The 24,961-nt window shown below is 53.7% G+C and overlaps 1 protein-coding gene across 1 annotated transcript, besides 1 other annotated feature; it reads left to right on the forward strand.

The window, feature by feature from the left end:
• Nucleotides 323–1,232: an enhancer, noted in NCBI's record as "H3K4me1 hESC enhancer chr5:149540489-149541398 (GRCh37/hg19 assembly coordinates)". NCBI's record gives its function as "activates a minimal SCP1, AML or CMV promoter by ChIP-STARR-seq in naive H9 embryonic stem cells {active_cell/tissue: H9 hESC(naive)}" and the evidence as "EXISTENCE:reporter gene assay evidence [ECO:0000049][PMID:30033119]".
• Nucleotides 6,175–23,955, forward strand: CDX1 (caudal type homeobox 1). Its single transcript, NM_001804.3, has 3 exons — nucleotides 6,175–6,718; nucleotides 22,165–22,310; nucleotides 22,871–23,955. The coding sequence occupies exons 1-3, from the start codon at nucleotides 6,274–6,276 to the stop codon at nucleotides 23,075–23,077; spliced, it is 798 nt and encodes a 265-aa protein (NP_001795.2). The 5' UTR covers nucleotides 6,175–6,273; the 3' UTR covers nucleotides 23,078–23,955.

A 24,961-nucleotide genomic window follows, 5' to 3' on the forward strand; every position in this document is an offset into this window, starting at 1 on the left:
TTGCCCCCTTGCTGGCCTCCCTCTCAGCCCCAGGACCGTGGGCAACTTGAGTGTGTCCATCTGGTACACGCAGATGGCTCATAGATCCCCAGAAGAGCAGGGCCCTCACCCTCACTGAATACACTGGCTCCTAAGGTCTGGAGAGCACCAGAACTTTTTTGAGGGCACACAGCAGGCCTAGGGTGGGGCCTCTCCATCTAACACCCAGTTATCACTAAGATAACTGTTCCTCCAACCATCCATCCATGCGATAGAAGTTAATTGAGGACCTACTATGTGCCCTGTCCTCCTGTCCTCACAGAGTTCACAAGCAAACACCGAGGAAACCACAAATTAATAATATCAAATTGTGATGAGTGTGATGAAAGAGACAAAGAGAATAATGAGCTGGGTGGATGGGAGTTCTTGTTCAGGTACAATAGGGCTTCTGTGGGGAGGAAGCAGGCCTGTGAGGCCACACACATTCAGGAGTAGGAACAGTGTTCGAGGCAGGGGGAAAAGCATCTGCAAAAGCTTGGAGGCCAGAGAGATCTTGATGGGTTCGAACAAAGAGAAAAGAATGGTTGAGGCAGAGAGCCGGCAGTGGGATGGAAGATTGGAGAGGTGGTCAGTGGCCAGGCATCAGGGCTTTGTGGGCTCGAGGGAGTCTGACTTTTATCCTGAGGGTCAGTAGGGGCCACTGCAGGATTTTAAACAGGGGACTGATGAGACCAGGTCACCCAAGTGCACTGTGGAGGATGGACGAAAGGGGGCAGGAGGGAGGCATGGGACGAGTGTGGAGGCTGCAGTGGCCGATCATGGACTGAACACTGCACACACACACACCCGTACTCCGTGCTGCCCCCAACTCTTTATCCACCTGAGAGGCTGCAGGAATGCATCTCAACAGGGAGTTTGGGCTTCTGTGTCCCAGCCTGTGCCTGGCCACTTGACTCACAGTATGGCCTTTTTCCTTCCCTGGCCTCTGTACCCTCCTCAGCACGGTGGGTCAGACACAGTGCTTCTCTGATAAGGACATCTATGCCCTGGGCCTCTGGTTCTAGCATCCCCTCTACTACCTAAGTGTCTGTGTCCTGGGGACTGCCACCCTTCCCTACCCCTCTGTTTCCCTAGGATAATCAGTGGCATCCGGGCATTACTGAGACAAGGCAACAGTACGGCGAGTCCTCCAGCAGTACCCAGGAGTGCCAGCAGGTGGCGGCCCCAGCCCCTGGAGGGGTAGGAGGAGAAGAAAGGTGTTGGGAGGAGAGAGGCCTCTGGAAGGCAAAGATGCCTCACAGGAGTCCCCCGCATCTGTCCCTACCTGGAGGTGGGCAGGGCAGGAATTAAGATCCCCGATTCTGAGGTGGAAGCAGGGACTCAGAGAGGGGAGTTAATGTGTCCAAGGTCACAGAGCGAGACTAAGGCTTGGCTGGGATGGGCCCCCCATCCAAAGCCCTTGGACTACAGTCCAGAGAGAGCTTCAAGAGGCTGGCAGTGCAGTGCAGTGGGCCTAACACTGGCCCTGGTGCCCACCAGCTTCTCTTAGGCAAACTATTTGCAACAGAAAGCTGAGCCCAGAAACTTTTCTCTTCTAGGGCCATAAACCTGATTGAAAAACCAAGTTATCACTAAGATCTTTATGAGGCCATCAGCTCTGTGCCCCACCCCAGGAGGCCCTGGCTGGGTGTGTGAGAGCAGCCTGGAGGGAGGGCTTCCAGGGGGAAGAGGGGCCTACCCAGGAGCCAGAGGAAGGAGGGGTCCAATAAACAGCCACTCCTAGGGGCAGGCGATATCAGAGAGGAAGAGGCTGCCCACAGGACAGGGTAGACAGGGCCTTCTCCACGCACAGAGCCATGCTGGACTGCTATCCCAGTCCCAGAGAGCACAGGGGGAGACTGAGGCCCAGGGGCTCAGGGTCACAAGGCGAGTCAGAAGCCAAGGTGGGAAGACCTGCAATTTCAGACTCCCAGCCTGGGTCATTTAAACAAGGTTACAGTGTCCTGGTTGGGGGGAAACTGGGGATGCCACATCGGGGCTGGCTCAGGACTTCTACAGGGGGTCCACCTAGGGTTGAGGGCAAAGGGAGAGCAGAGGCTTTTTTGCATGAAGAAATCAGAGGAGGAAGAGGAACCAGCTATTTGTTTAAGCAAAATCCCAACTAACAAACTAGGGGGCAGGGAGGCACACACAGCTCGCTATCCTGGCAGCGGGGGCCAGATGTAGAAGAAAGAGAAACTTTGGCCCGGCACGGTGGCTCACGCCTGTAATCCCAGCACTTTGGGAGGCCAAGGCGGGTGGATCACCTGAGGTCAGGAGTTCGAGACCAGCCTGACCAACATGGAGAAACCCCATCTCTACTAAAAATACAAAATTAGCCGGGCGTGGTGGCGGGCACCTGTAATCCCACCTACTCAGGAGGCTGAGGCAGGACAATCGCTTGAACCCGGGAAGCGGAGGCTGCAGTGAGCCGAGATTGCTCCACTGCACTCCAGCCTGGGCAACAATAGCAAAACTCTGTCTCAAAAAAAAAAAAAAAGAAAGATAAAAAAAACCTTCCAGCTAGGATATTGACTTCTGTGTGACTTCAGGCAGATGACTTTGCTTCTCTGAGCTCCAGCTTCCTCCCTGCAAAATGGGGCTAACAATCAACCCCACCTCGTTGTGCTGCTGTGAGGAGGAACTGAGATAACACATGCAAAGGGCTTGGGATGATGCCTGGCACTTAGTAAATGCTTAATACACAGCAGTGCTATTGTTGTTGTTATTATTACTCCAGCAAAATGTCAAGGGCCAAACCCTGAAATCTCAGAGAGAACTGAGCTAGGAGTCAGAAAGCCTAGTACAGGGGAATCCACAGAAGTGTGGGGGCCCAATCCAGGATGTGTCCGTGGAGTGGGAGGGACATCCACCCTGGGAGGGCACACTACTAAGGGGACCACAGAGCAGCTGGAGGGGCTCCCCAGGTCGTGCGGGTCCCTGGCTCTGCCCTCTGCCTGATCAGGACAACAGACTTTGCTCCGCTGGGAAGGGACTGCCGCTTTGGCCCCCATCTCTCAGCCACCACCTAGTTCTGGCCACCATCTCCACCACTCCTGGACCCCTTCCCGGCTTCCTGCTGCTCTCTGGCGCCCCGCCTCTCCTCTGGCTCATTCTCCACACACCAGCCACAGCTGTCTTCCCGCCACTGCCCTCCGCCACTCTACCCCTAGATAATACCCTTCCACACCCTCATCAGGCTTGTCCCACCAGGGCCTGCTCTGCCCCTTGCCGGACTCCTCTCTTGCCCCTACCACTCCAGACTGGCCTTTAAGTGCTAAGGGAACAAGTGTCCCCTCGGGCCTCAGGGCCTCTGTTCATACTGACCCTTGACCCCTGCCGCCCTTCCCCACTCCCCAGGGCCTTGACTCACGTGTCACTTCCTCCTGCAAGTCTTCCCTGACTCCTCCCTCTGGGTCAAATCTCCCTATTCCTGGCCCTTGCCAAGATGTAACTTTACCTTTATTTGTGATTATTTGATTCATACCTGTCCACCCCCGCCAGACCCCAACTGTAATTACTGCAAGGGCAGGGCCTCACTCAGTACCTAACATAGTGTCAGCACAAAGGAGGTGTGTTAATAATATATATTTTTCAAATAAATACATACATAAAGAAATGAATTTGTATGCCTATTTCCAACCTTTAAGCCTACCATTTAGGCCTGACAGAGCATACTCTTGAAACTAGAGGGCACTTAGAGAGCACCCTTCCCCCGGGATAGGCATCCTTTCCCCCAGCATCCCTAACGTGAGACTGACCTCCAGCACTCACTTACATACCTCCTGTGATCATGAGCTCACTCTCTCTCATGACAGCCCATTTCCTGACAGATGGCCCCTTACAGAGCACTTTCTTACGTATGGGTGGGCTGAAATCCACATCTGTAGCCTGCAGTTTCCTCCCTGAGGTCCCAAGTCTGCCCTGTCTTCCTCCCCAGACTCAGACCCCACTCCAGGTTTTCTCTTCCTTCAGTCCAAGCAGTCCCAGTTCTCTCAGCTCAGAAAGTGGAGTTCAGTCCTCTTGGGCCTCTTCTCCCTCCTCTGTGTACTTGCCAGTTTCCCACCAATCCCTTGAAAACTTGAGTCCTAAGCAGAGCCCAGAGCTCCAGAGAAACATTTCAGCACCGCATCCACTTCCTGACCTGGGAAAGTGGGATCTTCCCTGCTGAGGCAGCCATGTGCTCATCTGTGTCATGTGCTGATCCACACACATGTGGACAGCCATGTGCTCCTGCAAGGTAGCCAAGGGCTCCGCCCGGTCAGCAACAGCCAGGATTTCCCTTCCCCTCTCCTACAAGCAGCCTTCATGTTGCAGCAAACACTGGGCATTACTCCTTTCCTTTCTGAGCCTCAATGCTTCTACCTGTGCAATGGAAAGGGTTCCTCTGAGCAGGAAGCGGAGGGAGCCCTGTGCTGGCTGAGTCTCTGGCTCTATCACATATCAGAGCCCCAGAAGAGCAAGAGTCTCACCAGGGCCAGCTTCCCAGGCGGGTCACCATTGCAGTCACACAGAGCCCAGTGTGTGGAAGGGCCCCGGGCTCAGGTGAATGCTCTGCTGCCACCATCCTGAAATCCTTAATCATTTTTGAACAAGGGACCTTATATTTTTTATTTTGCTCCCGGCCCTGCAAATTATGTCCTGATCCCGAAACATCTGCCCAGCCCTGAGATGATACTGACCAGCCCCCGGCTAATATGGTGACCCAAGAGAGAGACGGGTTGAACAGATAAGACCCTGATTCTGACCTTCTTCTGGGGACCACACATCCCTGCACAATGAGAGGAACCCAGGAAATGTGGGCCCATCCAATCCCACAGGGTGCTTCTGCACAGCTCCCTGGCACAAAGCCCTTGTGCGGAGGGACCCCATCTGACTTCCTGACCCAGAGCCCTGTCCTTCATGCACCCTTCCCCAAATCCCTCAGCCTTGTCCCCACTCCCAGTTCACTGACACCCCCTCAAGTGTTCCCAGCCCCCACTCCCCCTTAGGTAGCTATGAAATGTTTGCCAGTCCTTCATATGGAGTGGAGGAACACGTGATGCATTTAAAATCCCAAGGGGGCTCCAGCCATAATAAATGGATCAGGGCTTTTGGATCCCGATTCACACAAACAGACTGCTAAAAAGACATTTTTGAATCAATTGGAGTACTTTGAATACGAACTGTGTGTTAGGTAATACCCAGGAATTTGTGTTAATTTTGCTAGATGTGATAATGGCATATTATGTAAGAAAATGTCCATGTGTTTTAGAGATGCGTGCTGAAGTATGTAGGGGTAAAATGACATGATGTCTGGAATTTGTTTTAAAATACTTCAGAAAAGCGGGGAGTAGGTGAAATAAGTGTGACAAAACCTTAATAGTTGTTGAAGCGGGGTGATGGGTACACAGCAGTTCATTATACAATTCTACTTTTGTGTATGCTTGAAACCTCTCAATTAAAAAAAGAGGGTAGAGAGTCATCAAGATAATTTACTAAAAGTTTCCTGTAATGTCCCCAGAAGACCCCCCTAACTCACACACACACACACCCACACACACACTGCCTTTTGAGAACTTTCTCTAGAAGGCCAACCCAGGCAGTCCCCCAACTGTAAGGAAGACTCGTGTATGTATGTGCATATGTGCATTTCCCCAGGGAAAAACATCCACAGCTTCCATGACGAGAGGGGTCGTGACCCCTCCCCGCCAAAAGATTAAGGACCTGCGATCCTACAGACCGGAGCCCTGTTTGAAGTCTGCGTTGCCCCTCACCTCAAGCTGGTCACTGTGTGAAGTTGGCCTAGAATCCCCCGGCCCCTGGGAGCTTGTTCCTCCGCCTGTAAAATGGGGCTGCAGGGCCGTCCACGCGGCCACCGGAAGGACAAGGTGTTCAGGCCGCTAGGCCGCTCCCTGGCAAGCGATTCCCACTCGCAGCGCGGCCTCGACCCTCGCCCAAGACGCGCCCTCCGCGCCCCCACCCCCTCCAGGCCCTGGCCAGTCCACCTCCCGCTTGGGGCGGCAATTTGTCTCCTTTTGAACCCCCCGCCCCCGACGGGTTTCCCCCTTTGATTCGCGGCCCGGAGGCTTCCCCCCGCTTTGAAATGCAAACCCGCCTCGGCTGGGGCCGCGGGCGGCCCGGAGCTATAAAAGGCCTGGGTGGGGCGGGCGCGGCGGCAGGACAGCCGAGTTCAGGTGAGCGGTTGCTCGTCGTCGGGGCGGCCGGCAGCGGCGGCTCCAGGGCCCAGCATGCGCGGGGGACCCCGCGGCCACCATGTATGTGGGCTATGTGCTGGACAAGGATTCGCCCGTGTACCCCGGCCCAGCCAGGCCAGCCAGCCTCGGCCTGGGCCCGCAAGCCTACGGCCCCCCGGCCCCGCCCCCGGCGCCCCCGCAGTACCCCGACTTCTCCAGCTACTCTCACGTGGAGCCGGCCCCCGCGCCCCCGACGGCCTGGGGGGCGCCCTTCCCTGCGCCCAAGGACGACTGGGCCGCCGCCTACGGCCCGGGCCCCGCGGCCCCTGCCGCCAGCCCAGCTTCGCTGGCATTCGGGCCCCCTCCAGACTTTAGCCCGGTGCCGGCGCCCCCTGGGCCCGGCCCGGGCCTCCTGGCGCAGCCCCTCGGGGGCCCGGGCACACCGTCCTCGCCCGGAGCGCAGAGGCCGACGCCCTACGAGTGGATGCGGCGCAGCGTGGCGGCCGGAGGCGGCGGTGGCAGCGGTAAGGACCCTTCCCTCGCCCTGCGCCTCTGGACCTGCAGGTGCTCGGGCGCGGCCCAGGCCGCCCCCTGTCTGACCTCTGCTCCGGCCCTGCTCGGGTTCCCGGGAGTGTGGCCCTCCTGTCCACTCTCGCCCTGGGGGGCTGCTCTTTGGCTCCCTCTCCTCAGTCTCAGGCTATCGGAGCCTTCAGCAGCACAGCCTAACCCTCTCTCTGTACAGATAGGGAAACCGAGACCCCCTGCGAAGTGCGGAAATGCGCCTGCGGCCGCGGAGCAAGACCCGAACTAGAACGCAGGCTCCCAGACTCGTGTCCCACACTCATTTAGCAACACCGACTCCGTGCTCTTCATCTGCTTCTTCCACTCCTAACCCAGCCCTAGGCAAAGGCGGCAGGTTCGCCCCAGAAGGGACGATTAACTAACTGTGTGAACAGGGCAGGTGACTTTCCTGGCCAGGGCTGGGTCTCCCCATCACACAGTCAAGACATTGCTGGGTCATATCCTTCAGGCTGAAAAAGAGCCCTCTTTGGCCAGACTGGGGCAAGGGGTCTGTACCTTACCTTCTCAGGGTCCTCCCTGAACTCTTGACCCCGGGGGAGGGGAAGCGGGAGCAGTGGGAAGGGGGGCTACTGTTTGGCTCCTGAGCCTGTGAACCTCCTGCCCCCAGGCAGGCCTCTCTGATCCGCCCTCTTCAAAGGCAGGGTAGGGGGCAGGACAAAGGGCCCAACTTTAATGAGGGGCGGCTTGACCTCCGTTATGGGTCCCCCCTTTGTCATGCAACTGGCTCTGCCTTGGCTCGGTAGTGACTCCTGTTGGCCGGAAAGTGAACACGACGTTCCATTGTCCGGACTGTGTCCGGCCTGTCCTGACAAAGGCCACCTAGCCTTGGGGGCGGGAAGCTGGCCTGCCCACCCTTTGATGTCCAGCCCCTCCTCCCCTTACCCCAGCTGCGAATAATCCTGGGACTTCTCCCACCTCCTCGCACTCTTCACCCCCATCTCCCCACACACACCCAGCTTGCCTCGGGGCAGATGCTGGGTTGGCCTTGATCAGGAGCTACGGGTTCTGGCCATAATCATATCCCCTTTTTGGAAGTCCCGGGGATACATAACCTCCTATCTGCCTCCAGGGAGATGCAGGGAACCAGACTCTGCCACTTGCTTCTGTGGCCTTGATTAAATAACAGCTAATGTTTTGGAACACTTAACTAACGGACCAGGCATGACCTAAGTAAGATCTTGCATGCATTAACTCCTTTAACTCTTAAAACATCATCGTAGGTACTATTATCACCCCCATTTTAAGATGAAGAAACTATGGCATAGAGAGTTTAAGTACTTGCCCAAGGCCATATAACCTGTAACTAGTGGGGCTGGGATTTGAACCCAGGTGGACTAACCACTAAGTCTGTGCTCTAATTCTCTACACAACAGCTCCTCTTAAATCAGTCATCTTTTCTGGGTTTCAGTTCTACTGTCTGTGAAATTAGAGAGAAGGGAGATTATGCAGTGGTTTGTACCCTTGTTTAAGTTACAAAAGGACTCCTTTGAAAAATCTGCTGAAAGGTACAAATGTTGCATCATTGGGCAATTTCAGGGGTTCTGGAGGCTACCAGAAGCTTTATCCATAAATCCGGGGTTAAGAACCCTGTGTTCTATGAGAGGAGGTGGTGGCAGCACCAGTGCTCAGGATCCTGCAGTTCCCAGTCTGTGAGGCTCTGGAGAAGGAAGCCTGTGTTTCCTGCTCCTGTGTTCCACTTTCTGCTTCCTGCTCATGGGGTGACTTTGGAGATGAATGGGGAGGTTCCCTATGGGTAGGGACTTGGAGAGAGGCCATCACTGTGTAAGGGAAAAGGAGTGTGTCAGTGGGGGTCAGGGGACTGGGTATCCTGGAGGAGTTTCCAGGAGCTTCCATACAAATCACCTCGTGTCTCTGGGCACGAGAGCTGCTGAACCTGGCTCATCCTCTGGTCTCAAAAGTCGCTTGAAAACTGTTGTCTGCAGGCAGATGAGTCTACCCCAGGCAAAAAAGCATTTCCCCCTCCTTGCTCTCCGAGAGTAGAGGGAAAGGCAGAAGGAGGTCTGGGGGTTCCCAAGGCTCCAGGAAAGGGACTTCCCTGGAGCCAGGTTAGCCCTCTTCCGCAGAGGATGCAGGAACCCTGACCTTCTTGAAGCCAGAAGGTGCTGCCTGTCTTCCCAGGGCATCTGACTGTCTATTCAGTGCTCCTGAAGTGGGGGCAGAATTGGGTTGGCACTGTTGACTCTCCCTGAGAGAGAGGCCAAGCCCCTCCTGTCTTTGGCCTCAGTTTCTCCTTCTGGGCAATGAAGGCATAGGGTTTCCAGGGGTGCTTCCTGTGCAATGCTGCTGTCCAGGACAGCTGAAGGAGGATCAGTGCATGCCACTGCCCTCCTAATCCCCACTGGCACTGGCCACCAGGTCTTCAGCCTGCCACCAATCCTGGCTAGCCCCCTTTTGCCCCACTTCTGAGCCTCCAGCATTCGAGAGTGGACAAACTGGACAGTTAGAGACCACACATGTAGACGAGGGAACCAAGGTACAGAGACTGTGAAGAATGTTCCAGTTTCACACAAGCGGGGCTGAGCTGGGCTAGATGTCAGAAGAATTGGTTTAGAATTTTCCTATGGTTTCCCATCATATGTAGGATAAACCCCACATTCCTTCCTGAGGTCTACAAGACTACAGCATTTGCACCTGCCTGCCTCCCTGACCTCATCCCCGGCTGCTCTCACCTTGGCTTCCAAGCTCTAGCCATTCCAGACTTCTTTTAGTTCCTCAGACCTGCCAAGTCCTACTGCAGATCTTGTGCACATGCTGTTCTCTCTTCCAGGAAAGCTCTTTCCCCTGATTCTTTGCAAGAGTGGAACCTTCTTACCCTTCAGATCTTAGTTTCATCATCACCTCCTCTGTGAAGCCCTCCATCATTTCCCAAAGTGGACTCCCCACTACACCCATCACGAATCTTTGCTGTGTTTCCTTCAGAGCACTAATTCCAATCTACTCACTTCCTTACACTTGTTTGTATGTTGTCCATTCCCGTGAGGTCCAGAACTATGTCTGCTTAACCCACTACTGCATCCTGGCACCCAGCTCAGTGCATGGCATTTAGTAGGTGCTCAATATATTTTGTTGAGTGAATGAACAGGGCAAGTGTGAGGGACAAAAGGCATCTCTGGGGAACAGGGGAGTGGGTGAGATCTTGGCTTTCACACAGGTTTCTGAGGTCCCAGCCCTAGGATTGGGACCTGTGACTGTCAAGCCAAGCAGTTCAGGTCAATGGAAACCTGGCTGCCTCTGTCTCTCCACTTGGATGGTACCCCAACTCACCTGGGGAAGTGGGGTTGCTGAGGCTGGGACTAAGACTTCAGTTTCTTCTAAGGAGGGGGCAGTGACAATGGGAAAGATGAGAGAGAGGCTGTTGGGCTTCAATCAGTCTCCGATTCCAAAAGACAATATTAATCAGTTATGAGTGATCAGCATCATTTGACTGAGGCCAGGATAGGAAATGACTACAAGACGTTCTTTTTTTTTCCTTTTCTCTTTGCATTTTCATGAGGAGGGTTTTAAATATCATCATTTTCATTAGGATGGTTACGCATCATCCTTCCGTGGAAGGCTCAGCCTCCAATTCCTTTGAATAAAGCTGCTCCACAGGTTAATGGCCCATTGGGGTGGCTGAGGTCTCAGGACTGGGGAGATGTTCACGTGGATGAGACTGTGGGAGCAAGGTTTAGATCTTGGTCCAACCCTGTCAACTTTCAGATGGGGAAACTGAGGCCCATGAAGGATATGAATCCTCCCCTCCCCCCACATTGCAGGTCCTCTCCCTTGGCCCATTGCCACAGCCACCAACCTGCTGTCTCACCTTCAGCCTTTCTGTACTGCTCCAGCTATCTTCTAAAACCATTGCCATATTTACCTTCTCAAGGCACATGCCCTGCTCAAGAGCATTCTGTGGCTCCCTACTGACATGGAATTGCCATTTCATTTTATGCCATTTCTTTTTTCTTTTTTTTGAGACAGAATCTTGCTATGTCACCCACGCTGGAGTACAGTGGTGCGATCTCGGCTCACTGCAAGCTCCGCCTCCCAGGTTCACGCCATTCTGCTGCCTCAGCTTCCCCAGCAGCTGGGACTACAAGCGCACGCTGTCATGCCCGGCTAATTTTTTTGTATTTTTAGTAGAGACGGGGTTTCACCGTGTTAGCCAGGATGGTCTCGATCTCCTGACCTCGTGATCCGCCCGCCTCGGCCTCCCCAAGTGCTGGGATTACAGGCGTGAGCCACCGTGTCCGGCCTTTTATGCCATTTCTTTGTTGTAAAATCCAGCTCCATTTCTATGGCAATCAGAGCCTTCTTGAGAACTGGCCTCAACCATCTATTGAAGCCATTCTCCTGCTACTTTGCCTAGATAAGGCAAGTTAAGAGCCAGGGCTTGGGAGTCTCAGAGCTGGGATTGCATTTCCATAAGAAGCTGTATAGCTTCGGACAAGTTAATTTGGATCATTTCTCGGAGCCTGGGCTGCTTCTGCTGTAACAGGATAATAATAGGATTGCATCTCAGAAGAGATGCCTGTAAAGCACCGCCCTGCCGCTGGCACACAGTAGGTGCTTAGGGCATCGGTGCCTGTGACCACCTCTACCAGTCCTCAGCAGGTGCACTGGAGCACACACCTCACACTCCCAGCCTCTCTAGTCTGGTCCCTCGGCCTGCATTGCCCTCCCTTCCCTCTCCTGCATCTTCACCAGCTCAAATGCTGCTCCTTCTCCGAGGCTGTCTCCTGTAGGAAGCCCTCCCTGATTCCTCCTCCCAAGCACTGTATCAGGCCCTTGTTTTCATGACACTTACCACTGCCTGTCTACTTTCATTGTCTTGTTTATCCCTGCCACTGACCATCTGTAGTCCCTCAAGGACCAGTCCTAATCAGTCCCATCCTCACCCTGTCTTGCACATAGTAAGAGCTCGTGATAAAGCAAATAACTGTGGCATTGGCTAAATCTTTACTGTGTGCCAGGCACTGTGCCAATAACTTTGCATGGGTGATCTCACTTAAGTCTCATGATAGCCCTGAGTGGTGTAAGGATCTAGTATACTCATTTTATAGATCAGGATAATGAGGCTCAGAGAGGGTAAGGTGGCCTGCCCAAGCTCATACAGCTAGGACATGGCAGCACAGTGTTTACACCCAGTCTACAGCCCAGCAATCGTCTGTGAAATAAAGACACACTCACGAAGGGGAGCCTGAGACCCCCCCTTCCCCATGGGCATCCCAGCCAGGTTGGGGGGAAAGGAGGCCAGGCAGGGGATGTACTGTAAGAGGCTGGGGGAGGAGGGGGCCCAGCAGGGGCCTGGCTGTTTAGAACCGATTCTCCAGGCAGAAGCTACATTTGACACCTCATCGCTCAGATATAGCTGGGAAAGGGAATGACCCAGTTAGAAGGTGGCAGAAGGCTTTTTTTTGGTTGGGTGTTTTCTCCCTGCTGCTTTGGCAGATATTGCTGCTCAGAGCTTGGGGAATCATTGTGAAGGTCCAAAATGGTTTGTTAGCAGCAGGGTCTGGTGTGTCCATAGGAAGTTATCTTAATGGGCCGGCCTCTCAGGTTTTTGTGTTGGAGCTCCTGGGATATGGAAACAACATTCACATCTGGAGTCAAGGCCGTCACCATGTTAGCATGCCAGACCCTCCCCATGCCACGCTCACCCCTCAGGCTTGTGGGGGCACCCCACATGGATCCCCCCCATCAACAGAAAGAGGGAGCAAGCTAGGCTCCACACCCTCCCATGGCTTCCTTTTGTTCTTGAAACCAAATCCATATCCCTCTCCTACAGAATCTGCTGGCCTCTCCAGCCCCATCTTGTGCCTCTCTCATTCATTCATTCATTCAAGCAGGCAAGCAGTAATATTCTCTGAGTGAGTGTCTTCTGTCCTGAACTTGCTCCTAGGCATTGGAGATGATGGCCTGAACAAGGCAGACGGGTCCACCTGCATGCAGAGAGCTGCCCTCTCTGCCCTCACTCTGCTCCTCCCTGCCTGGGGGCCTTTGTACCTACTGCTCACTCTCCCTGGAATGTCTTTCCCTGTTCATGACATGGAAGCCTCCTTCTCAACCTCAGGTCTTGGCTTAAATGTGGCCTGTTCCTGGAGACCTCCCCCAGCTAAGTAAAGTAGCGTTCTTCCCCTCACCTCACCAGTCGGTTTAGCTCATTGCTCACTTTCCTTCCTGCTGCTAATCCCAGTTTGTCATTATTTCATTTGTTTGTTTTTAATCTACCTCCCCTGCCATGAAGGAGATAATGAACTATTTATCAAATAAGTACTAAGCAGTTATTATGGTAATCATAATGCGAACCAGCATCTATTGGGTGCTCAGTGTGTTCAGCATTTTTTCAAATGCAAGATTTCTGTCCCCGGAACAGCACATTTCTTCTCCATCAAATGAGTGGCTGGACTAAGCTTTAGGAGCAATGGAGATGGACAGAAGGCTGTGCTTTGGAGGCTGAGCCACCAGCTGCTGGAGTGGACTTGGGGAGCAAGGGAGACAGGACTGAGAGGTGCCACCTTGGCTTTTGATCTGAATGGCTGGAGGATGGAGGTGCTGTTTATTGAGTTAAAGAAGCAGAGGAAGTAGCAGGTTTGTTTTATGTATTCACCAAGGATTCATCAAGTACTCACTGTGTGTGTCAGGCACGTGATAGGTGCTGGTGAGCTAAATGGCATGGCCCTACCCTCAAAGAGCATTCAGGGAGCCAAGGCCTAAGGGGAGGGTCTTCACCAAGGTCACACAGCCAGCTAGGGGTAGGAAGGGGCTGGAGGCAGAGCCCCTCACTGCAGCCCCACCTCGAACGTGAGACTTCGGGAGCCACACCTACAGTGGAGTAGCAAGGGCTTCACTCTCAGACTAGTCTAGTGGAAGATGGCCAGGGGGGCAGTGGCCTGGAAACTCCACCAGGAAACAGTTCAGAGAGGCCTCAAGTTCTTCGGCCTCAGAGAAGACCTGAAGGGATGCAGTTGCTGTTTGTAAATCTTAAATGGCTGTCTTGGGCTCAGGGTGCCCCTGTGGAAAAACTCAGGAAGGATATAAATGGGTGGCAGATGCAAGAACTGGCTGCTTTGCAGCTAGTAGGCGTGTGCTGCAGTGTGGGCGTCCGGACCCTGGTAGGAGTTTGATCTAGCAGCGTTTGTCCAGTAGGACTTTCCGCCAGGATGGAAATGCTCTGTATCTGTGCTGTCCAGTAGGCAGCCACCAGCTGCACATGGCTGTTGAACACTTGAAATACAGCTAGTGTGACTGAGAAACAGAATTTTATATTTTATTTAATTAATGTGGCTAGTTGCTGTCATATTGGACAGTGCAGAAAAATCTCTCTCAAGAGTTCCCAGAATGGAAATCCATTCTGCATAAGCTCCTTGTTCTTGCATTGAGGAATCTCTCCTGCCTTTTTTTTTTTTTTCCTGAGATGGAGTTTTGCTCTTGTCGCCCAGGCTGGACTGCAATGGCGCAATCTCGGCTCACTGCAACGTCCGCCTCCTGGATTCAAGCGATTCTCCTGCCTCAGCCTCCAGAGTAGCTGGGATTACAGGCACACGCCACCACGCCCAGCTAATTATTGTATTTTTAGTAGAGACAGAGTTTCATCATGTTGGTCAGGCTGGTCTCGAACTCCTGACCTCAGGTGATCCACCCACCTCAGCCTCCCAAAGTGCTGGGATTACAGGCATGAGCCACCTCGCCTGGCCTCTCTCCTGCCTCTTTCAGCTTCTTTGTCTCTGTAGTATCATCATCATCATCATAGTTTTTATTAATAAGTACTTTGTTAAGTAGGTTATTACTTTGGTCTCCATAACTACCATATAAAGAAAGTATTCATGTCTTCATTTTAAAGATAAATAAACTGAAACTCAAAGAGGTCCAGCAACTTGCCTGGGGACATACCACTGGCACATGGCCAGACTGGGGGAGAGCCACCGGTCTCTGTCTGACTCTAAAGTCCCTTCCTCTTTGTTACCTCCCAAAGCTGGGTCAGATTGTGGACCTTGATGAAGAAGATAGGGCAGCAGATGATGCAAAGGTGGCCCTGGAGGAGGAGGGTGCAGAGATGATGAAGAACTCTAACTAGGAAGGAGGGTGACAGTGGGGAGGAGAATCTGGCTAAGGCTGTAGGACTCCCAAAATGGCTGGCCTGGCCATTGTCCCCCTTTCCCCGCTCCCATGCCAGCTTCATCCCTGCTCAGGGCTTGAGTGAGGAACCATGATATTAGCAGCCGGGGACTGCCAGATCAGCCAAGACAAGGACCCAACTGTGGGTCAGGCAGAAAGCCTGATGTCCCAGGAAGGGTATCCATCCATTGTAGAGCTGGTGAGGTTAGGGCACAGTGGAGAGCCCTCCCCCTGGTGGTACAGATGGGGAAACAGGCCCAAATAAGGGATCACATGTCCAGCTGGTGGGCCGGCCAGATCTCCCCACTCCCAGGTCAGTGTGTTCTTGGCCCTATGGCTCCCCATTAGGCGACATTCCTCTCTCTCACGAGGGACTCCACCAACATGCTCACTTCTGCAAATAGCTGTTTTCTCCTTTTTGTCTCCATAGCTTTTTACCCTTTCCAGACTGCTCTCACAGCCATTCTGTTCCCCAGGCAGGGGAAGGAAAGCCCAGGGAAATTCAGTCACTTGTCAAGTCCTTCAACTAAGATGACCAGGCTGGACCACAGTCCAGGTCTCTGCCACCAGGCAAGGTCTAGAAGCTCGCCCCAAACACCCAGCCTTTCCCAAACCTCAGTAGAGTGTGACGCTGCTACAATTTAGGCCCCTCACCAGAAGTGCCACCACCTCTGAGCTGGCCCACAGCCTGCCACCCTTGCAGCGCTCCTACAAGTATTATCTGGGGTGAGATCAGTCCTCCTGAGCCCCTCTTTCCCACCCTTTCCTTTGCCTATTGGCCTTGCAGTCATCCACAGCAAGTGACCTATAAGCTCTCTGGACTTGCTTCCTTATCTTGGAAAAGGGGGCTCTTTGCAGTAGCATTCTATGGCTACCCTATTCCCACCTCCCCTGAGCCCCCTCCTGCCAAAAGCCCTATGCCCTTCGTTTGTCATTCCTAGGCTGGCATCACAGACACGGGTGAGCTCCCCATCGCCTGTTGCTGCATGCAGTGTGGGTCTCTGAGGGACTTGGCTGGAGGGCGTGTGGGGCAGGTGCTCCCTGTGGGGGTTGCCTGGGGTGGCAGGCAGCAAGGTGGCAGGGGGGGCCAGGAGGTCTGATCTTTAAGGGAAGGCTCAAAGCTGCACAAAGGGCTCAAAACTGCAGAGTCTCGAGGGCACTTGGACTGGTGCACAGGCTAAACCAATGCCCAGAGGAGAGGAGGAACTAATTCTAGGCCACACAGATGGCATGGAACTGGGACCAGGACCCACTGACTTTAGCTGGTGGTTTAGAATCCACAGGGGCCTCGTTAAAGATGACAGAGAAATTAGGATGTGGTAGATCTGGAGTGGGGCCTGGGAATCTGCATTTTCAGCAAGCCCTTGTGTGTACAGACGTGCATGCCTGTTTGCATGTGTGTGTTGGGGTTAGGATCTTGAAGCACAGCCAGCTGGGGCTGGACCACCCAGGGAGGAGTCACAAAGGTTTTCAGAGCTGGATTTGTGGTCCAGGCCTTGGGGGGCCAAAGCTGGTCATCCACCAGGGCCACACACCCGGCAGGAAGAGGGCAAAGGAAGTGCTGACCTAGGGGCCATTTGATTGTGCTGGAGCAGAGGCCACACTCTGTCCTTGCCTGGCCCAGGCTGGATGGGGAGCCCCCACTGCAGGCCACTGTGGCTCCTGTCCCCATCCTCCCCCCGGGCAGGCCCAGTGTCTAGACTCTCAGACTGAAATTGGTCTTAGAATTCTTTCAGCTACAATAACAAACACAATCAGAGAATCAACAAACATTGGGAGGTTCACGTTTCCAAGTTGGAAGGGACCTTATAAGTAAACGGTCATTTCTAGCAGACCGCCCATTGCACAGATCCATTCCCTGGCATTCCTGCCAGATGGTCATCCCACAACTGTTGGAAATGAGTAAGATCTGCCCTTCCCCATGCACCTCCTGCATGCTAGACATTGTCCATCTATCTCAAGTGAGCCCCTGTATGCCGCAGGGTTGGAGAGAACTACAAGAAACCTTGTACCATTTGATTGATAGGTTCTACTGCTGTTTCTGAGGCCAGATAGACCTGGTTTTGAATCCCACCTGCCTGATGCGTGGTCCTCTCTGACCCTGAGTTTTCTCATCTGTAAAATAGAGTGATAGTTGCCCAACTCCACGGGTCATTGAGAGATGTATACAAAGGGCCCAGCACATGGATGTGTTGGCTATTATTAGAATATTAATTTTCCCCATTTTACAAATACAGAAAATGAGGCTCAGAGAGGTGGGGAGACTGTCCTAGGTTACCCAGCCAGTGAGCAGCTGCACTCCACAACCCCAGAGGTTTAGTTTTAATGACATCCAGGAGCTCTGGGCTGGAACTCCTGACTGCCCCGAGACACCTCTGGAGTCACAGAGTGTACCTCTGTTGGGCTCCACAGCCCCTCTCCAGAGCCCAGAGAAGGGTGACAAGGTCTGTGGGCCAGGTCTTCACCGGCAGCCTTGCCAGGACAGAGAGGAGTAATTATGGAGCTAAAGCCCAACCAACCACACGTTAGGGTCACCTGGAAAACTATTCAAGTACCAAATTTTGAGACCCATTCTAGCGCCACTAAATTTGAATTTCTGGGGCCAGAATCTGCACTGTGAAAAAGCTTCCCAGGCAGTTCCAAGGCTGCTGGTCAGGCACTGGGAGCCATTGGCCTGTACCGTGCATGCATTAGGGGACGGGAGTTTGCTACCTCTCATGGTGGCCTAATCCACATGGATGGGACATTCTGCGCATCCCAAAACTGGAGAGAGAAAGCCTCCCATTTCGGTGAGTTACCCAAGGCTCTTCCCCTCTGTGCTCACCCCTGAAGAGCTGAGGGGGCTCCCCATTCTCCCTCCCACCCATTCACACTGGCATCTGGCCCAGAGGATTACTTATTAGGTGGCTGGGAGTGGCCCGCCCCTCAGCAGACACCTGTTATAGGAGCCTGGACTTCCCCCTTAGCTCCAGCGTCCCAGGGGCCTGTAAATAATTCATCCCCAGCCCTCTCCCCACCCCACTGCTCTCACACACCTCCCTGCCCGCTCCTTCCCAGGCTCCAGAGGTATCTTGGGGCAGTTGGGAGTTCCAGCCCAGAGCTGGGACTGGAGCCCAGGGCTCCTGGGGCTGTCATTAAAAATACAAATTAACACATACACTTGATAAAGATTTAAAAAACCCAAAGTCTCCCTCCTACCTGTGGCTTTCCAACCTCCAGTGCCCTCTCCAGAGGCAGCCCCTATTACTGGCTTCTTGTATATTCTTTCAGAAAGAACTATGTTTGGGTATGTGTGTGTCTCCCCCATTTTTATACACAAATGGTAACATACTATTTACACTATTCTGTCTTGCTTTTTTTTTCACACGTCTTAGAAATTGTTCCATACTGGGATATATGGGGTTTTGAAATTTCTTTTTAATGACTGCATAATGCTCCTCTCCACGAATGCACCATCCCTTCTCTCACCAGCTCCCTGCTTGTACACGTGTACATTGTTTTTTGTCTTGTGTTATCAGAAACAGATGGAGCTTTGGGCAGCTCTTGGTCGGATCAGTTACTGGAAGTGGGATTCTTCGGTCAAAGGGTATGTGCCTGTTAAATGAGGCTAGATATCGCCAAGTTGGGCGCTAAGGAGGATGTTTCAGTTCTCACTCCTGGAACAGCATATGGGATTCCCTGGTTTCTGAGCCACACGGTGTGATAGCAAACATTTTGTTCTTTGGCAGAGCCATTTTCTTGCACGAAAATTGTGTGTTTCAAGCAGCTCCACCAGAGAGAAGTTGGCCAATGGGTTCCTGAGCCCACCAGCTCCTCTCCAGAGCCCAGAGAGGAGTGACAAGGCCTGTGGGCCAGGTCTTCACTGGCAGCCTTGCCAGGAGAGAGAGGAGTAATTGTGCAGCTAAACCCTATCTCCATCTGGTCTCACTCCTGACCCCCTCCCTTGTGGAAGAGCTGGGCCTGAGGTCAGAAACCTGAGTCCTGGTTCATACCATGACCAGTCAGGACAGCCCTCTGCAAGTGCCCTTTCTGAGCCCATTTCCCCCCACCTATGAAATGGCTCTCATGGGTCTGGGCTTGCTCGTCAGAAGAGGCAGGAGTGGGTGCTAGGACTCTAAGGAAAAAGCACCTTCAGGACCACTGCCTGTCATCCCTAGGCGAAGGTCTGGGTGGGCAGGGAGCCTCATGCCCTACCTCAGGCCTGTCCTCCTGGGGGTGGCTGTGAGTCCTCTGGGCATTTTAAGGGCCCCCAGCCTGGGGCTCTCAGTAGCCTTCCCTCACCATGGTCTGGGCTCTCCTTTCCCAGAAGTAGCAATGGAGGGGTGGTCTGCTATTTAAGCTTCTGTTACCAACACTTTGGGGGCTCCATGGCAGGCTCAGTGGGCCCTAAATTTGGCAGCATGCGGAATTGTACCCTGGAGAGGCAGCAAGAGCTCTAGGGCATGGGGCATGGCCTTGGGCAGGCCCGTGCCTGCCTGGGCCTCAGTGACCCTGACTACACAGGGAGGTAGGACTGGAAGGGCTCACCAGGCCTCTTCTTTGGCCCTCCAGCTGCCATGCAACCATTGTGAACCCCGATCTCTTCCTCAGTAAAGTGCGAGGAGACTAAACTCTCACAACCGCTTCCAGCTTTAGCCCAGTGAACCCAATGGGTCTGTGGATTCAGAGCCATGTTGGCCTCCAGTGCTGGTGGCATTAGGCAGAACTGTTTTTGAGCCGGCGTTGCATTTTCTAGGCCAAGGAGGGGCCCAATCTGGAGCCAAGGCCTGGGCAGCCACTCCCTTATCCCTTTCCTGGGGCCAAACCTGGCTGAAGTCCGAGGCTATCCCGTGCTATGCTGGGCAGCGGACTGAGGTCAGTGGACATGGAAGCGTCCAGTGTGGTTCCTCTGCTCTGGCAGGAAACCCAGGGAAAAGCTGCCCAGGAACATCTGCTGCCTCCCATTCTCCACAAAGCCATTTGGCTCACGGAGAGCCCAGTGGCTGTCCTGCCAAGCTGCGTGGGCTTGGTGGAGGGGGACAGGCGTCAGAATGGGGGCGGGTGAGTGGTTAGTACAGGGGTGCTGAGGGACAGGCAGGGCCAGGGCTGAAACCCAAGAAGATGAAGGCTGGGCTGTGGTGGGGACACTTGCGAGAGGCGGGAGGGGTTGATGGTCTTTCAGAGACCCGCCATGCCCTGGTGGGAGCGTGTGCGGGTCTGGAAGTGCTTGCGTGCGCCTCCTATTTATAGCCACGTGCTCAGCTTCTTATAAAGGAAACTGGTGCTTAGCCAGGCCCCACACAAGCCCAGGCCAAGCATGACTCTTAGTATTCTCTCCAGACAGACCTCTGATCCCAGTCCCAAAGAAAGTCCTGACATTAACCTCAGCTGGTCCTCAAATCCAGCTCTGGGCCCCAGGCTGAGCCTCATAAAGAAGCCAAGGCACCGCCCTCTCTCCTGGGTTACGGCAGCTCTCCCTGCACTTCCCCTTCCTCTTGCAAATCTGTTCTCCATGCAGTAGCCAGAGTAATATTAAAACCTACATCAGACTTCATGTCTCCTCTGCTCAGAATCCTGCAATGGCTCCTGTCCCAGACAGAGGAAAACCCAGAGTCCCTCCCCTTGTCTCCTGTCCCGTCCCCCTTCTCACTGCACCTCAGCTCCACCAGCTTCCTCACAGCTCCTCACTGTCAGACAGCAGGCAGACAGCAGGCATGCCCCACCTCGGGGCCTTTGCACTTGCTGTTCCCTCTGCCTAGAAGCCTCTCCCCAGATGTCTGCATGACTCTTTTTTTTGTTTATTTTTCTTGAGACGGAGTCTCACTCGATCACCCAGGCTAGAATGCAGTGGTGTAATCCTGGCTCACCACAACCTCCACCTCCCAGGTTCAAGCAATTCTCCTGTTTTCCCGCCTCAGCCTCCTGGGTAGCTGGGATTACAGATGTATGCCACCACGCCCGGCTAATTTTTGTATTTTTTAGTAGAGATGAGGTTTCACCATGTTGGCCAGGCTGGTCTTGAACCCCTGACCTCACGTGATCCACCTCCCTCAGCCTCCCATAAAGTGCTGGGATTACAGGTGTGAGCCACCGCGCCTGGCCCTACATGACTCTTTCCTGTACCTCCTTTACACCTTTGCTGAAATTCCCCTTTTCAGCAAGGCCTTCACGGCCCATTCTATTTAAAATCACAGACCACCTCCTCCCTAAATTCCCAGTCCTCCTTCCCTGCCTCCTTTTCTTCTGAAACACTTATCAACTAGTGTATCAAATATTTTATGTTTATTTTTCTTTTCATCATCTCCCTCCCCTAGAAGCTAAGCATCACGAGGGCAGGGGTTTTATTTTGCTCAGTGCTGTAGCCCAGAGCTTGGCTCACAGCAGGAGCTCAGTGAGGATCTGTGGGATGAGCTGCATCTCTCCTGCCCGGTGCCTGGACACAGGGGGATGTGTGGACGGCTTGGGCAGACCAGCCTCCGGCCTCTGGTGCAGGCCCAGCTCAGGGCTTGGTATCGTGAGCCAGAGCCTTTGAGGTAACTGGCAGGTCCTAGGGGTCCAGCAGCAGCCCCAGTCCTCCCTGTCTGATGTTGAGGCCATCCCCAGGCATTCGGCAAGAACTAGGGAGCCCACACCTGGGACAGTTCCAGATTCTTTCTGCTTCCACCTCTACCTGTGGTGGCTCTTCCCTTCTCTCTTCTCTTGCACAGGAGGAAGGAGCAGCTGCCATCTCATTAGTCTTGATCACCCTTGCCTGCCCGATATCCCCTCCGTGTCTCCAGCATTCAAACCTATCTGATATCTGACCACAGAGTGGAGAGTTTGTTAAAAATGCAGATTCCACCCCCAGGCTTTCTGACTAACTGGTCAGGGATGCCCAGAACCTGTGTTCTTCACAAGCTCCTGGAGAATGGCTGCTGTGCAGCCACATCTGGAAGCTGCTGGTTTAAAGTTGTTGGAGCTGGCCTTCAGAATAGGGCTCTGGGTCAGGAGACCTGGGCTGAAGCTGCAGCTCCGTCAGCAGCCTGCTGTGTAACCCTGAGCTGGTTGTTTTGCCTACCTCACTGCCTCCCTGATGGGCATGGGAGGAGTACTTGCCTCCCAGACTGTGAGTCTGTGGGTCTGAGTCTGGGAAATGACTGTTTCCCTTGAACCTGGAGTGTATGTCTCTCCCCACCTCAGGGTCCTACTTCAGGGAGCCTGGATTGTCTTCCTCCTGGGGGTCCTGCCTGGGCCTTTTTTGTAGCCTCCTCCTCTCAACTCACCTTCCTTCCCGGCTCCTTCTGCTTCTCAGGTAAGACTCGGACCAAGGACAAGTACCGCGTGGTCTACACCGACCACCAACGCCTGGAGCTGGAGAAGGAGTTTCATTACAGCCGTTACATCACAATCCGGCGGAAATCAGAGCTGGCTGCCAATCTGGGGCTCACTGAACGGCAGGTGTGTCTGTCTTCCTATCTCAGCCATAGGAGCAGTGCGAGGACTCTGGTCTCCAGGCTGCCAGGCAGAGTACAGAGCTCAGTAGAAGGAAAACAGAGAGGTTGAGTCTCCAGGCCATTGTCACACAGCACAGCAGAAACTGAGGTGCTACCAGCACCCTCCCTTAACAAAACCCAGTATCCTTGCCCCCAAAGGCAGGGGTAAGGGGATCTGATTAGCCACAGGCTACAGCAGGCTATTATTAGTGCTGTAGGAGGTGCACGTGCTATTTACATTAGGGGAGCAGTCACAGGGATAACAAGGAAGGCTTCCTGGAAGAAGTGTGGCCTGGGAAGATGGAGAGGGGGAAGGTTACAAAGAAGGGCATCTCCAGGGTAGGGGTGCAATGTCTAGAGGGGGAGAATGAATTCAGGGTCCATGTGGTCTGGGAGGCTGGAGAGGAGATAAGCCACAAAGCCACATGGAGAAATAGGGGCTCACTGTCCTCGTCTCTCCTTCTTGCACTCTCTCTTTCACTCTCTCCCTGCTGCCCACTCCATCTCTGTCCTCCAACCCCACAGGTGAAGATCTGGTTCCAAAACCGGCGGGCAAAGGAGCGCAAAGTGAACAAGAAGAAACAGCAGCAGCAACAGCCCCCACAGCCGCCGATGGCCCACGACATCACGGCCACCCCAGCCGGGCCATCCCTGGGGGGCCTGTGTCCCAGCAACACCAGCCTCCTGGCCACCTCCTCTCCAATGCCTGTGAAAGAGGAGTTTCTGCCATAGCCCCATGCCCAGCCTGTGCGCCGGGGGACCTGGGGACTCGGGTGCTGGGAGTGTGGCTCCTGTGGGCCCAGGAGGTCTGGTCCGAGTCTCAGCCCTGACCTTCTGGGACATGGTGGACAGTCACCTATCCACCCTCTGCATCCCCTTGGCCCATCTGTGCAGTAAGCCTGTTGGATAAAGACCTTCCAGCTCCTGTGTTCTAGACCTCTGGGGGATAAGGGAGTCCAGGGTGGATGATCTCAATCTCCCGTGGGCATCTCAAGCCCCAAATGGTTGGGGGAGGGGCCTAGACAAGGCTCCAGGCCCCACCTCCTCCTCCATACGTTCAGAGGTGCAGCTGGAGGCTGCTGTGGGGACCACACTGATCCTGGAGAAAAGGGATGGAGCTGAAAAAGATGGAATGCTTGCAGAGCATGACCTGAGGAGGGAGGAACGTGGTCAACTCACACCTGCCTCTTCCTGCAGCCTCACTTCTACCTGCCCCCATCATAAGGGCACTGAGCCCTTCCCAGGCTGGATACTAAGCACAAAGCCCATAGCACTGGGCTCTGATGGCTGCTCCACTGGGTTACAGAATCACAGCCCTCATGATCATTCTCAGTGAGGGCTCTGGATTGAGAGGGAGGCCCTGGGAGGAGAGAAGGGGGCAGAGTCTTCCCTACCAGGTTTCTACACCCCCGCCAGGCTGCCCATCAGGGCCCAGGGAGCCCCCAGAGGACTTTATTCGGACCAAGCAGAGCTCACAGCTGGACAGGTGTTGTATATAGAGTGGAATCTCTTGGATGCAGCTTCAAGAATAAATTTTTCTTCTCTTTTCAAAAATGTATAAAAATCATTATACATAGCATTAAAGAAACATTTTTGAGAAGTACAAATCATCCTCACCTTCCCCAGCAATTGTGTATTCCTTTCCCGTTTGTTTAGGCCCACAACAAGGTCACCTTTAAAATACATTTGAAAGATCAAAACAGAACACCATTCGTTTAGGTCTATGAGACTACGTAAAAATGTGAGTCCATTTTGTAAGCAGATTCATCAGACTCAACATATCAGTCTTTTGAATTTTTCAGATATGTTCAGTTCAGGTTTTTCTTTCAATAATGACATTCATTGCTCACCCCATGTGCTACGCGTGGCTGGGCCTGGGAAGCACACAGTCCTTGTCCCCTAGACTGGAGAAGGGGTGCGAGATCATGTCTTGGGAAGATGTGGAGGGGGAAGGTTACAGAGAAGGGCATCTCCAGGGTAGGAGAGCAAGATCTAGAGGGGGAGAATGCATTCAGAGTCCATGTGGTCTGGGCAGCTGGAGCAGGAGAGAAGCCACAAAGCCCCCCTCAGGGTCTGACTTCAGGGGTCCTGAATTGCTCTGCAGAAGTCCCCAGTCCAGTGGGGAAGACTGCTATGCACACAGATGACACTAATATAACAGGATAAGGGCCAATCTGAGCGTCAGGGGAGCCAGGGCATCCAACGAGAGCAGAGCACATGCCTAGCTTATCCTGGAAGGCTTCCTGGAGTAGGTAATGTTTGAACTGAGACTGAAAAGGACTAGCGAGTATGGATCAGGCCAAGAAGGGAATAAAGGAGAAAAGGAACTTGAGCAATATGGACTGAAAGTATAATTTTTTTTGAACTCGGGAGTCTACTACCCGGGGCCTTCTCTCCCCGGGGGCTCTGGTGCCAGCTGCCTGCCCCTCTGTTTACTGTTCTGGGAGGTGGCCAGGCCATAAAAAGTGTGCACAGCCTGCCTGACATCGCCCTTTGCTCCCATGATAACAGTGCACAAGGTGGATCCTGGCCTGGCACAGGCCCCTGAAGTGCAGCAGGCACTTCTCTCTCTCCTCCTACCAGTGGCCTGGGAGACAGCGGGCATTCATTAGTAAT

The sequence above is a fragment of the Homo sapiens genome, chromosome 5 (assembly GCF_000001405.40).
Source record: "Homo sapiens chromosome 5, GRCh38.p14 Primary Assembly".
In the NCBI taxonomy this organism is placed as follows: Eukaryota; Metazoa; Chordata; class Mammalia; order Primates; family Hominidae; genus Homo; species Homo sapiens.